This window comes from Homo sapiens, chromosome 5, assembly GCF_000001405.40.
Source record: "Homo sapiens chromosome 5, GRCh38.p14 Primary Assembly".
NCBI classification, from domain to species: domain Eukaryota; kingdom Metazoa; phylum Chordata; class Mammalia; order Primates; family Hominidae; genus Homo; species Homo sapiens.
In genome coordinates, this window is record NC_000005.10 from 154,673,456 (window position 1) to 154,686,952 (window position 13,497).

Consider the following 13,497-nt stretch of genomic DNA (forward strand, 5'->3'; position numbering starts at 1 on the left):
TTACAGGCGTGAGCCATTGCGCCCAGCCTGCATTCCCCTTTGAGATGCATTTAGGATCTTTCCAGATGACTTGTCCAAGGTCACACAGGAGTCAGATGGCCTTTCCACTACCCCACAACACAGATGCATAGTTACTCTGTGGGCTAATACAATTCAGAATTCAGAGCTCTGCCCATGGTCACCGGTGGAATCCACCAGCCATCTCCCTGACCTTGCTCTCCTCTGTTCTCCTCATCTCCAGGGTCCCATGATTCAGGGCGAGCTGGCTTCAGGATGTGGGCAAGAGGGGTTTTAGATGGAAGGGTCTTTCCTCCAGGACAGAATGTTAAGCCACGCCTGGACTTAATTGTTCCAAGATGTCGTTAGAATTGGTGGACAATTTTTTTTTTAATGATTAGCAAAGGACAAGGCTTTTGGTGGTCATTAGTATTGTTTATCAAATATTCCAGTTCTCCACATTCTGGGTACATGGTAGGATGAACTTCCCTGTCTCTTCAGAGTTAAGTGTAGCTCTGTGATGTGCTTTGTCAAAAAAAAAAAAAAAAAAAAAAAAAAAATCAGAGGAAATAACATGTGTCACTTCCAGGTGGATGTTTTAAGAGCAACGTGCAATTTACTACATTTTCTCTTGGCTCCAGGAATGACAACTGGCAATGTTCAAGTTGGTGGCTGCTCTATCAACTTGGACCTGGAGTAAAGACAGCACAAAACAGAGCACACAACAGTCCCACAATGCGTGTTTGAAGCCACTCACTTGAGGGTTGTTACTGCAGCACAACCCAGCCCATCCTGACTGATACAGGTTCATGTCTGGTTAGTCAAAGCTGCCATGAGCCTGGTGAAAACCTATCAAGGCCCATCCTTTTGTTAAACCTGAGTTTGGAGACTCCAAGCCCACTTCCCTGGTCTCTCAGATAAACCTGCTGCAGAGGAAAGAAAGATATTCCTTGGTGGCCCAATTGGAATGAAAAATTTCAGGATTGAGAAGGCAGGGGATTCTTAGTCCTGAAAAGGCATTCTATGTTAGACAAGTTAGAGGCTGAGTGAGTTATTTCCCAGCTGAACATCCTTGGGCTGGTGGAAGATTAAATGAAGTACACGCATCAAGTGCCTAGCATAGCACACTGTGAGCTCTGGACACAAAGATACTCACGGAAACCTTGTCGTTAATTAGAAACCAATAATCCAACAGTAGAGGAACAGTTAACTAATTATGGTACGTTCATGTACTGCTACATAGCTAAAAGAAGGGGGAAGAAAGGAAGAAGGTGGGGCAATGTAATATGTAGGTTATGATAGACCATTGTTAAGTGAAAAGAGCAAGTTATCAAACAGGTTAGCTTTGGAAACAGACCCAGAATTGAGTCCCAGCTCTCCTAGCTGTGTGTCTTGGGCAAGGCTCTTTTTTTTTTTTTTTTTTTTTTTTTTTTTCTGAGATGGAGTTTTGCTCTTGTTGCCCAGGCTGGAGTGCAATGGTGCGATCTTGGCTCACCGCAACCTCCATCTTCTGGTTCAAGCGATTCTCCTGCCTCAGCCTCCTGAGTAGCTGGGATTACAGGCATGCACCCACCACCACCCCCGGATAATTTTGTATTTTTAGTAGAGACAGGGTTTCACCACGTTGGTCAGGCTGGTCTTAAACTCCCAACCTTAGATGACCTGCCTGCCTCGGCCCCCCAAAGTGCTGGGATTACAGGTGTGAGCCACCATACCTGGCGAGCAAGGCTCTTAACTGCTCCAAACTTCACAGACTGGCAAAAACAGAAGCTCAATAAATGTGAGCTATTACTTTATTGTTGTCATTATTAATAATAAATCTATAGGTCAACGTTGGCTGGGCACCTGACTTCCATTATCATAGCTCTGCGATCCTCTAATCCATCTCCCCCATGACCTTGTGAAGTTGATCTTAATCCATTTTACACACAAGAATACTGAGGCTCAGAAAGGTTAAGCCAGTTGCCCAAAGTCCTCAAGTCAAGAATAGGAGAGTTAAGATTTGAATCCAGTTTTGTCTGGTTGCAAAATTCACTCTCTTAACCATTGTTCCCTGCTGGCACCTGGCACAGGTAATACACTTTCATTGTCATAGGATTGCAGGGCTTTGTTTCTGATGGAGTCAGGGTGACTTTGAGACAGGGTTTCACTACCATTCCCTAGGCTGGAATGCGGTGGCACCATCTCAGCTCACTGCAACCTCTGCCTCCCAGGCTCAAGCGATTCTCCTGCCTCAGCCTCCAAGTAGCTGGAACTACAGGCACACACCACTGCGCCAGCTAATTTTTGTATTTTTTTGTAGAGATGGGGTTTCACCATGCTGCCCAGGCTGGTCTCGAACTCCTGAGCTCAAGTGATCCAGCTGTCTTCACCTCCCAAAGCGTTGGGATTACAGGCGTGAACCACCACACTCAACCCATCCTGGGTTACATGACTTGTAAAGTCATGCCTCCAAGGGAACACCACAGACAAATCCAGGTAAATAAAATTGTTTAGTGAGCAGCTCTCAACTTTTGAGTGCTTACAGCCCACTTTTCAGTACTTGCAGCCCACTTACTTTCATGATAGTAAACAAGTCAGCAATGATGAGCCCTGTGATAGCCAGCCCCCAAGATGGCCTCATGATCTTCACCTCCTGGTACTCACATACTTCTATGGTCCTTCCCCACAATGAGCAGGGCTGACCTGTGTTACCAACAGGATATTCAGGAACAATAGTGCGTAGCTTCTAAAGCTAGGCATAAAAGACAATGTGGCCTCCACCTTGTTCTCCCTGGCTCTGGAGGAAGCTCACCTCCATGATATAAGGACATTAAAGAAGTCCAACAGAAAGGTCCACGTGGTACAGAACTGAGGCCTGCTGCCAACAGTCATGTTGGTGCACCATCTTGGAAGCAGATCCTCCAGCCCTACTCGAGCCTTCAGATGACTGCAGACCTGGCTGACATCTTGGTTACAACTTCGTGAGTGACCCTGTGCCAGTAGCACCCAGCTAAATCACTCCTGAAATCCAGATCCACTGAAACTGTGAGGTAATACATATGTATTGTTTTAAGCCATTAAGTTTGGGGTATTTGCTACACAGCAATAGATAACTAATAACTATATTATGACAGTACAAGGAAAAAAACTGCCTCGAATATATTTTTTTAAAAAATGAATTATCACATGGTCTCCTTTGTCCCCTTTGGCACATGGGTTGGAAGAACTAACCCTTCCTTACAAACCATCCTCTCATATGTACTCACCTGGACAATTTCTCACAGCTCTTGATAAACACACCACCTTTCTTCTGCATCAACTCCAGAATAGGCCTCCCATCTATCCTCTGACTTGTAGCAAGTGAATGCCTTTTTGTACCATTCTGACAGTCCAATTCCAACAAAAAGCACTAGAACAATATATAGCCTGGATTGTAGCAAAAATAAATTTTATGTGCTAGTAAAAACTTGGCAAGGCCAGGGGTGGTGGTGCACACCTGTAATCCCAGCACTTTCAGAGGCTGAGGCAGGCAGATTGCTTGAGCATAGGAGTTCAAGACCAACCTGGGCAATGTGGCAAAACTTCATCTCTACAAAAAATACAAAAATTAGGCCGGGTGCAGTGGCTCACGCCTGTAATCCCAGCACTTTGGGAGGCCGAGGTGGGTGGATCACCTGAGGTTGGGAGTTTGAGACCAGCCTGACCAACATGGTGAAACCCCGTCTCTACTAAAAATACAAAATTAGCTGGGCGTGGTGGCACATGCCTGTAATCCCAGCTACTCAGGGAGGCTGAGGCAGGAGAATCCCTTGAACGCGGGAGGCAGAGGTTGTGGTGAGCCGAGATCGCGCCATTGCACTCCAGCCCAGGCAACAAGAGTGAACTCCGTCTCAGAAAAAAAAAAAAACAAAAAAAACCCAAAATACAAAAAGTAGCTAGATGTGGTGGCACACGCCCTGTAGTCCCAGCTACTTGGGAGCTGAGGTGGGAGGATGGCTTGAGCCTAGGAAGTCAAGGCTGCAGTGAGCTGAGATCATGTCACTGCACTCCAGCCTGGGTGACAGAATGAGATCCTGTCTCAACAACAAAACCAAAAAAAGGCCAGGCGTGGTGGCTCATGCCTTTAATCCCAACACTTTGGGAGGCCGAGGTGGTGGATCACTTGAAGTCAGGAGTTTGAGACCAGCCTGGCAACATGGTGAAACACTGTCTCTGCTAAAAATACAAAAAATTAGCTGAGCGTGGTGGTGCGTGCCTATCATCTCAGCTATTAGGGAGGCTGAGGCAGAAGAATCGCTTGAACCTGGGAGGAGGAGGCTGCAGGGAGCCGAGATCAAGCCACTGCACTCCAGCCTGGGTGATAAAGCGAGACTCCGTCTCAAAAAAAAAAAAACAAAAACGCTTGGTGATACCTTTTGGAGTCCGTCCATGAGACCACAGCCTACCGTGCTAAGTGGTTTCATCAATAGCTGTAAAAGAAAAAAATACTTCACTTCCTTGAGCCCAAACCCCTCCTTCTGCTCTAGTCAGGGATGTGGGGGTTCTGTCCTCTCAACACAATCTTCTTCTAGGCCTCTGACATCTATTCAGGACAACCAGCTAAAGAGAAGCTCCTCCTTCCTATGGTGAAATCTGCTTTCAGTGGAGAGGAGCAGATAGTGAGACTTCACAGTGGCAGTACTCTGGTTCAGATTCAGAGTTGCTGCTTCTTAGCTCTGTCACCCTGGGTAAGTTACTTAACACCATTGTACCTGAGCTTCCTCTTCCCAGCTACGGAGCTAATAATAGCACTTTCCTCATAGAGTTGTTGAAGAGACAAAACAAGAAAAGGATCGTCCAGAGTTTAGCACATTGCTTGGCAATTAGTAAGAGCTCATTCTCCTTTTATTGTTATTCAAGAATAATAGCAATAGACAGGCGTGGTGGCTCATGCCTGTAATCCCAGCACTTTGGGAGATCAAGGCAGGAGGATCACTTGAGCCCAGGAGTTCAAGATCAGCCTGGGCAATAGAGCAAGACCTCATCTCTACTAACAATTAAAAAAAAAAAAAAAAAATTGGCCAGGCGCAGTGGCTCATGCCTGTAATCCCAGCACTTTGGGAGGCCGAGGCGGGCGGATCATCTGAGGTCAGGAGTTCAAGACCAGCCTGACCAACATGGAGAAACCCCGTCTCTACTAAAAATACAAAATTAGCTGGGCGTGGTAGCACATACCTGTAATCCCAGCTACTCAGGAGGCTGAGGTGGGAGAATCCCTTGAACCTGGGAGGCAGAGGTTGTGGTGGTGAGCTGAGATCGTGCCATTGCACTCCAGCCTGGGCGACAAGAGTGAAACTCTGTCTTTAAAAAAAAAAAAAATTAGCTGGGCATGGTGGCACATGCCTCTAGTCCCAGCTACTTGGGAGGCTGAGGCAGGAGGATCCCTTGAGCCCAGAGTGTTGAGGCTGCAGTGAGCAGTGATCACACCACTACACTCCAGCCTAAGCGACACAGCAAGTCCCTGTCTCAAAAAAAAAAAAAAGAATAGCAATGATGATAGCTACTAGGCTGTGTGTGGTGGCTCACATGCGTAATCCCAGCACCCTGGGAGGCCCAGGCGGACGGAACACCTGAGGTCAGGAGTTCAAGACCAGCCTAGCCAACATGGTGAAACCCCGTCTCTACTAAACAAACAAACAAACAAAAATTAGCCAGGTGTGGTGGCATACGCCTGTAATCCCAGCTACTTGGGAGGCTGGGGCAGGAGAATCGCTTGAACCCAGGAAGTGGAGGTTGCAGTGAGCCAATATCACACCACTGCACTCCAGCCTGGGCAACAGAGTGGGACTCTGTCTCTAATAATAATAATAATAATAATGGCTGCTATTTAGTAAGCGCTTACCACATGGCTAGCATCCTTTACATGCACTATCTCATTTAATCTTGAGAGACAGGGCCTCTTACTTTTCCCCATTTTAGAAATGAGGAAGCTGAGGCACAGAGAGGTGAGGTGCTTTGCCCAAGATTACACAGACTCACGTAATCAGGTATAGGAGCCCTCACCCTTAACCACCTTGCTCTGCAGCATCCCAGGAGGAATGGAGCAAAGGGCCCTGTAAACACTAGGAACACTGCAGGGATTGAGGAGAACAGAAGGGGCAGAGTGAGGTCATGCAGTAAAGGAACAGTCCAGAGGAGAGACTTTCCCAAGTGGCAGACACAGCGGTGGCATGGAGTCCTCTGTGAGCACCACCATCTGTCTGTCTTCTCTGTAGTGGGAGTGTTGGACCTCTTGTGTGTGTGGTAGAGCCACCACACTCTCTAGCACCTGCTCCCCAGGACCCTGAGCTGCTACAGTGGCAGGGTCCCGCAGCAGCATGGACGCCCTGCTGAGGCCTGGGTTTGGACATGCCAAGAGCCCTGCTGACAGCTCTGCCTTGCCCTTCCTGAATTCCTGCCGTGGTCACAACACAGCACTGGCTCATTAAAATCAGGGTCTGCCAGAGGGGAAAGCCAGGCCATTTCATTTGCCAAGATGCAACAGCATAAGATGGCTGGACACGGTGGCTCACATCTGTAATCCCTTCGCACTTTGTGGGGTGGAGGAGGGCAGATAGATTGAGCCCAGGAGTTCAAGACCAGCCTGGGCAACATGGTGAAACCCCATCTCTACCAAAAATACAAAAGTTAGCCAGGAATGGTGGCATGTGCCTAGTAAGCAGCTACTCAGGAGGCTGAGGTGGGAGGATCCCTTGAGCCCGGAAAGTCAAGGCTGCCATGAGCCGTGATCATGCCAGTGCACTCCAGCCTGGGCAGTGGAGATATAGTAGCATAAAATGGGACCAGTTTTGGCCCAACACCATCGTGTGGTGTTCTTGCTCAACCAGGAAAACAAACTCACAGAACCAGCAGTGTCCACAGCTCTGGGCCAGAGAGGGTCAGCAGGTTCGGGGCACTTCTCCTCCAGGCTCTGACCCCAGGGAACTCCTGTGATTCAAATAATAATAAGAGCTATAGAGGTGTCTATCAGGCCCCAAGCCCTGTGCCTTCTGTGCCTGGGAGACAGAGAGGTTGAGTTGCTAGGAAAGGTGGCCCGGCTAGTAAGCCTTCTGTTGACTGTGGCAAAGACAAGGGGCTACCTGCACGGTCATGAAGATCACCGTGAAAGAAGAGGGACAGCTGAAGACACTGGACAAGGTGGAGTTGTTGCAGCCCCTCAGAAAACACTTACATGAGGGGAGGCAGGACAGTGTAGTGCTGTGGCTCTCAATCTCAGACGATTTTGTCCCCAGTGGACTTCTGGAAATGTTTAGAGACATTTTGGTTTGCATATCTGGAGAGGGAGGTGCTATTGGCATCTACTGGGTAAACACGAGGGATGCTGCTAATTATGCTACAATGCACAGGACAGCCACCCGCAACGCTGAATTATCTGGCCCAAAACGTCAATAGTGGTTGAGAGGGCATGGGGCCTCAGAATCCAACAGGGGCATCACCAACAGGGCTTAATCTCCTGCTCCCCCTCTGTAAAACTGGGGATACCAAATTTCTGCCTCACAGAGCTGACCTATTGCCTGTTAAGTGCTTTCTGCAGGCAGGCTCATAGTAATGCTCCACCATTGTTGCCATGTTCATTACCAAGGATGTGCACTCTGCAGAAGAGCACTGACCAGGTAGACCCAGAGAAGGGCCATGAGAGAAACTGATCCAACGCTTGAGAGGGCGGAAGATGCCAGAAGAGGCCGTGATTACCCATTCTGGCATTCAGCGCTTTCCCTGGTCTTGTTTCAGCCTACTTTGCTTGCCTGGCCTCCGGCTGCTCTGGGTGGTCTATTCAGTGGGCCAGCACACATGCAACTTCTTCCTGTGTCTACCGTCCCCACCTCACAAGAACCTCTTCCTCCAAGGAGCCGCCTTGACCAGCCCAACCCTTAAGAATCACATAGCCCTTATCACAAATGGATCGACAGGGTGGCTACAGAGATGCTAGACACAATCATATCCATAAAGACTCTGAAAAACAGACATACATTCTCAATTATACACACAGACACACACATGCAACCTCAAGATGCCCTGTAGCCCTGGTCACAGACTGATCACAAATGTATTACCATACACATGCACACACACAAATATCCAAGCATAACACGATCTCAGACAGGAGTCCCGTATACACATACACATTTATACAATACTGGCACACACAAAAAACCCCCACACATACCCCCCAAGGATATGCTGTCACATTCACAAACTCATAAATTCACATAAATATGCATATTTAAAACAAACTCAGGAAAGCCCATAGGTCTTATACAGTTAACACCTAGGCATATAAAGATACACACCTGTCCATATACACAGAAATGTATTCTTGGCACACGACCTCATATACAGCTATTAATGTGCTTACATACATAAGGCATACATATATACACATTATTCAATGACACATACACTCCTATATATTCACCCAAACACACATATGTAACAGACATACAAAAAGACATTTAAAAAAATTCCATTTGTCCTCTTCTATACACACAGATGTACTCCCATAGTACATTTTATTCATTCATCATTTATATTACAAAACATTGCTAAGGAAACTTCCTTGGTGTGACTTCCAAATTCAACCTTGTGTTATAGCTACTTGTGTAGACTAGCAAAAATGCATCGAGTAGGCTCATTTCTCCCTTTAAATTTCCACTTGCGGATACGCCTTGTGGATTTGCTTTCTCCCCTGCAAGCCCTCACCTCTCTCTGTCCCCCTTTTTTTTTTTGAGACAGGGTTGCCCAGGCTGGAATGCAGTGGCACGATCTTGCCTCACTGTAGCCTCCGCCTCCCAGGTTCAAGTGATTCTCCTGCCTCAGCCTCCCAAGTAGCTGGGACTTCAGGCGCGCGCCACCACGCCCAGCTAATTTTTGTATTTTTAGTAGAGACGGGGTTTCGCCATGTTGGCCAGGCTGGTCTTGAACTCCTGACCTCAGGTGATCCGGCCGCCTCGGCCTCCCAAAGTGCTGGGATTGCAGGCGTGAGCCACCGCGCCCGGCCCCTCTGTCCCTTTTTGACTGCCCAGTCCCCCAGGCCTCCGCTGGAAGGCGCTCACTAAAGGTTCAGAGTCCGAAGCCGCATTCCCGGGCACCCTCCCCGGCCCCTCCCATCCCACAGAGGCAGGGGTGGGTCCGTGGGTGTGGCAATGAACCACGTGTACCCACGGGACTCTCGAAGTGGGGGAGGGGAAGGGGCGCAGCACGCCACCCTCCTTTCTCCGCCCCTGCCCTACCCTCTCCGCTGTTCCCCCACTGTCCTCCCCCAGCCCAGCCCAACCTCAGCCGGCCGCGGGAGGAGGCGGGAGCTGGGGCTTCGAACTGCCCCCTCCCACCTCCGCCTCTCCCCCGTCTCCTCTCCCCCTTTCCTCTTTCTCCTCCCCCATCCCACTTCTCTCTCCTTTTCCTCTTTCTTTCTCCCCTCCTCCCTCCATTCCACCCGCCTCCTTTTACCCCGCCCTGCCAGTCGTCCTCCCCCTCGCCCCCTCCGCCTCCCTCCAGCTCCGCCGCCAGAGGCTGAGTCATCGCTGCTGCGGCGCTGCCGGCCGTGCTGGGAGAGCAGGCGAGCAGGTAGGGAGGGTGTGAAGCAAGCGACGCCGTGCGACCCGGCACCACCGTCTGGGCCCTTTCCCGGAGAGGCCTGGGGAGGGGGCACCGAAAGGGGCCCGGGCCGCGGTGGGGGACGGGCGACGGGCCCCGGAAAGGCACAGATCTTACCCCTCAACCCCCATCCTTACAGGAGCCGCTTTGCAGCATTCTCAGCCGCACATGCAAATTAATACCTAACATTAGGGTGGCATCTGGGCCAGGCAAGTCAAACTGACGGCCCACGGACAGATCTGGCCGGCACCTGATATTTATTTGGCTCACACAGTGTTGTGTTTGTTTGTTCTGAAGTTTTAACTATTAATAGTTGCCAATACTTAAACATCACTCATTTCTTGGAAAATCAGATTCCCAACTCAAAAAATTAGAATATATGTCAACGTATTTCCCATGATAACTCTAGCCTATTTCTGAGTGGGGATACCTTTGTGTAGTCAGGGCATTGCACCCTCCCTACCTGCTCGCCCTCTAGTTTGCCACAGTCTCCGCTACTCCCTACTGTTTCACCTAGGCCACTGAACTTCCTTTGTGTTTCCTGCCAGGCCTCATATGGAATGATTCCTAGTCTAGTCCACCCCATTCATATTTTACATGGGGATTAGGAAGTGAGGGTAGGGCATTTCCCAAAGTCACATGTGGCCTTAAAGCTGAAGGGGAACCCTGCTTTTCCTCACCCACTAATCTTTTCTACCAAACCATTCTGACTCCTTTGGTATGCAGGCTAACATAGGGAATTCTTTTGTGAAAAGTGTGTTCCAGAAAATTATCTGGGGATCAGAGTAGACCTCAAATGGGAGATGATTTGGAGCATACAGCACCTCGTCTTTGGAGTTGATGGTAGCTTCTCACAGTCTTTCCCTTGGAGTGGAAATAGATGACAAAACTAGGGTGGATAGATGAATGGAACAGTTGGCCAATCTGGTATATTTGGTTATAAGAAGTTGTTTTCGGGTCATTGGAAACCTGGCTTATGAGACACTGTTGCATAAGGGCTACAAAGGCAATATGCCACTTTGCTTGGATTATTCTCTAGTCTAGTGCTTCTCAGCTCCTAATGTGTACATGATTCCTGTAAAGTGTAGATTCTGACGTGGCACGATGGCTCACACCTGTAATCCCAGCACTTTGGGAGGCCAAGGCAGGATAATTGCTTGAGCCCAGGAAATTTGAGACCAGCCTGGGCAACATGGTGAGATCCCTATCTCTACAAAAAAATTAAAAATTAGTTGGGCGTGGTGGCCTGTGCCAGCTACTTGGGAGGCTTAGGCAGGAGGATCCCTTGAACTCAGGAGGTGGGGACTATAGTAAGCTGTGTTTGTGCCCCTATACTCTAGCCTGGGCAACACAGTGAGACCCTTTCACACACACACACAAAAAAATTGTAGATTCTGATTCAGTAGGGCTGGATGGAACGAACCCAAGATCCTGCATTTCTGACAAACTTCCAGGTGATGCCAGTGTTGCAGGCCCCTAGACCCTCCTGCCTTTGAGTAGCAAGGGTGTGCACTCCTTGCGCTTCCGGTCTATTCATGGGTACCATTGCTGCATGACGGCCAAGAGAAGGGGTTTGAAGTCCCACAGTGGACTTCACAGTGGATCCCAGCCTACCCCTTAACAGTCAGCTAACCTTAGGCCAGCTGCTCATCCTCTCTGTGCCTCCATTTTTTCATCTGTTCCATTGAAATCAAATAATACTTCCTTAGGAGCATAAAAAAGGCAGAATGAATGTATGACCCCAGCACAGTCTGTGCCTCATGGCAGGCCCTCTGTAAAGATAGTTTCTACCATTGTGCACTCTCTCATGGGCAGTGAAACCCAGAAATGACGTGGTTAGGGAGTGGGATATGGAAGGGATATGGAAGGTATTTCAGGATAAGAATTGTACCCCTTGGCTGGGCGCGGTGGCTCATGCCTGTAATCTCAGCACTTTGTGAGGTGGAGGTGGGCAGATCACAAGGTCAGCAGTTCGACACCAGCCTGACCAACATGGTGAAACTTCGTCTCTACTGAAAATACAGAAATTAGCTGGGCATGGTGACGCGCACCTGTAATCCCAGCTACTAAGGAGGCTGAGGCAGGAGAATCACTTGAACCCGGAGGGTGGAGGTTGCAGTGAGCTGAGATCGCGCCACTGCACTCCAGCCTGGGTGACAGAGTGAGACAACATCTCAGAAAAAAAAAAAAAAGAATTGCACTCCTTAATGTGGCCTTCTGAGCCATGCAGGGTGGTCACTGCCCAGCCTACCCCTTAATGCTCTCCTACCTCTGTCCATGCTTCCACCACAACGGCCACCTATTAGGTCCTTTGGCCATGGTACCTTCTCCCCTCAGAGGCCTTGCACATGCTGTTCCTCATATTCCAAGCTGGCTGGCCCCTTCTTATCCTTCAGTCTCAGCTCCTATGTTACTTCCTTGGGGTGCCTTCCCTGATCTCAGAAGTCTAAGGGTTTAGCGTAGAAAGTGGGGAGCAGGGAACATCTCTTTGGGCTGCATGTACATAGGGAAGTCACCGTATCTACTTAGATTCTAAGTTTATTTAAAGCAGCTTTGGATAGGGGTGAACTAAACGCTGCCTCTGCTAGTCTATACGATGCCTTTGTGCAGATTAGAAAAAGGGGTCGGGCACAGTGGCTCGCACCTGTAATTCCAACACTTTGGGAGGCCAAGTGGGAGAAACACTTGAGGCCGGGAGTTTGAGATCAGGCTGGGCAACATAGCGAGACCTCAACTCTACAATTTTTTTTTTTTTAAATTTTAGAGACGGGGTCTTGCTCTGTTGCCAGGCTTTGTGCAGCATGTAAACTGTACAGCCCTAAGTGGGAGCCCTACTGCTAATGCTTCCCCAAGCTACCTCGTGATTCGGTTAATCCTCCTTTGCCTGGATTAAGTCTCTTTTATAAACTTTCTTAACCCCATAAAACTCATCACAATTGGGATTAGGTATCTAGGGAGTTATTTATTTAAAATCTGCCCCCTACACTAGACTGTACTGCATCAAGGCAAAGACATATCCATCTTGTTCTAGGCTGTATCACTAGTGCTTAGTACGGTTCCTGCACCATAGCAGGTGCTCCACAAATGTTTTCTGGATATTTCAGGAGCTCATTCTGTACCAGGAAAGCTAAGACTCTTACTGAAACAACTGTGGGCATAGGATGAGACAGGCACAGAGCTAAATGTGTGGTGCAGCCCCAGTGAGGGAGATGTCACTTCTGGCTGCGGGGATGCTCCGGAAGAGGTGGTGTTTTGGCTGGGTCTGACGGAACAGATGGAGTTCATTAGACTTAGATGGGTGGGGGAGTGTTCTTGGCATTGGGAATAGCAAAAGCAAAGGTGCAGAGGGAAAAAAGTTCAATGTGTTCCTAAGACAAGTCACAAATTGTGATCAGCAGAGTGGCCAAATATGTTTTGTGAATTACCTGCCAATATTTATTTTAAAATCAGGAGATTTCACATAAAGATCCAGATTTTCCAATTCTCTTGAAAAATCGAAAGGTCCCACCAGGTAGCAATAGACTGGCACTGAGAAGTGGCCGTTCGTTTTGAAGGTGTGGGCTTACTCCAGTTTGCCACAGTCCTTACCTTTCCCAATTGCATCACACCCAGCTCTCTTCACTCATTACTGTCCCTTTCTGGCTTTGGAGATGGCCGACAGACTGTTTGATTGGCACACATGGGAGTTGTAAGGAAGATTGGTTCAGATCCTACAGACCCTTAAATGCCAGCTAATTAAGTAACCTGGTAACTGCAGGGATTGCAGGGGTCTTCTCCAGTCCCATGGATCACTGTCCAAGTATCCCTTGGCAGAGCCATGCCTGACTTCAGAAGAAGGAACTTCAGGCCAAGAAGGCTGGTGAAGTTCTGGAAACCAAGGAAGCA

At 48.7% G+C, this 13,497-nt stretch overlaps 1 protein-coding gene and 1 non-coding gene across 7 annotated transcripts in view, besides 2 other annotated features; both read left to right on the forward strand.

Annotated features, from left to right (window-relative positions):
* Nucleotides 9,094–9,293: a silencer, noted in NCBI's record as "silent region_16545". NCBI's record gives its function as "represses an Ori minimal core promoter by ATAC-STARR-seq in GM12878 lymphoblastoid cells {active_cell/tissue: GM12878}" and the evidence as "EXISTENCE:reporter gene assay evidence [ECO:0000049][PMID:35858748]".
* Nucleotides 9,334–9,813: a silencer, noted in NCBI's record as "silent region_16546". NCBI's record gives its function as "represses an Ori minimal core promoter by ATAC-STARR-seq in GM12878 lymphoblastoid cells {active_cell/tissue: GM12878}" and the evidence as "EXISTENCE:reporter gene assay evidence [ECO:0000049][PMID:35858748]".
* The window catches only part of LARP1 (La ribonucleoprotein 1, translational regulator), a 134,627-nt gene continuing 130,653 nt past the window's right edge, over nucleotides 9,524–13,497 (forward strand). For all 6 annotated transcript variants that reach the window (XM_047417041.1, NM_001367714.1, NM_001367713.1 and 3 more), the window contains exon 1: nucleotides 9,524–9,582. The gene's annotated coding sequence lies outside the window, so the exon portion shown is untranslated. The remainder of the gene's footprint in view (nucleotides 9,583–13,497) is intronic.
* MIR1303 (microRNA 1303) lies at nucleotides 12,321–12,406 on the forward strand. The gene has a single exon (NR_031638.1). It is a non-coding gene; the product is annotated as a microRNA 1303 (primary transcript).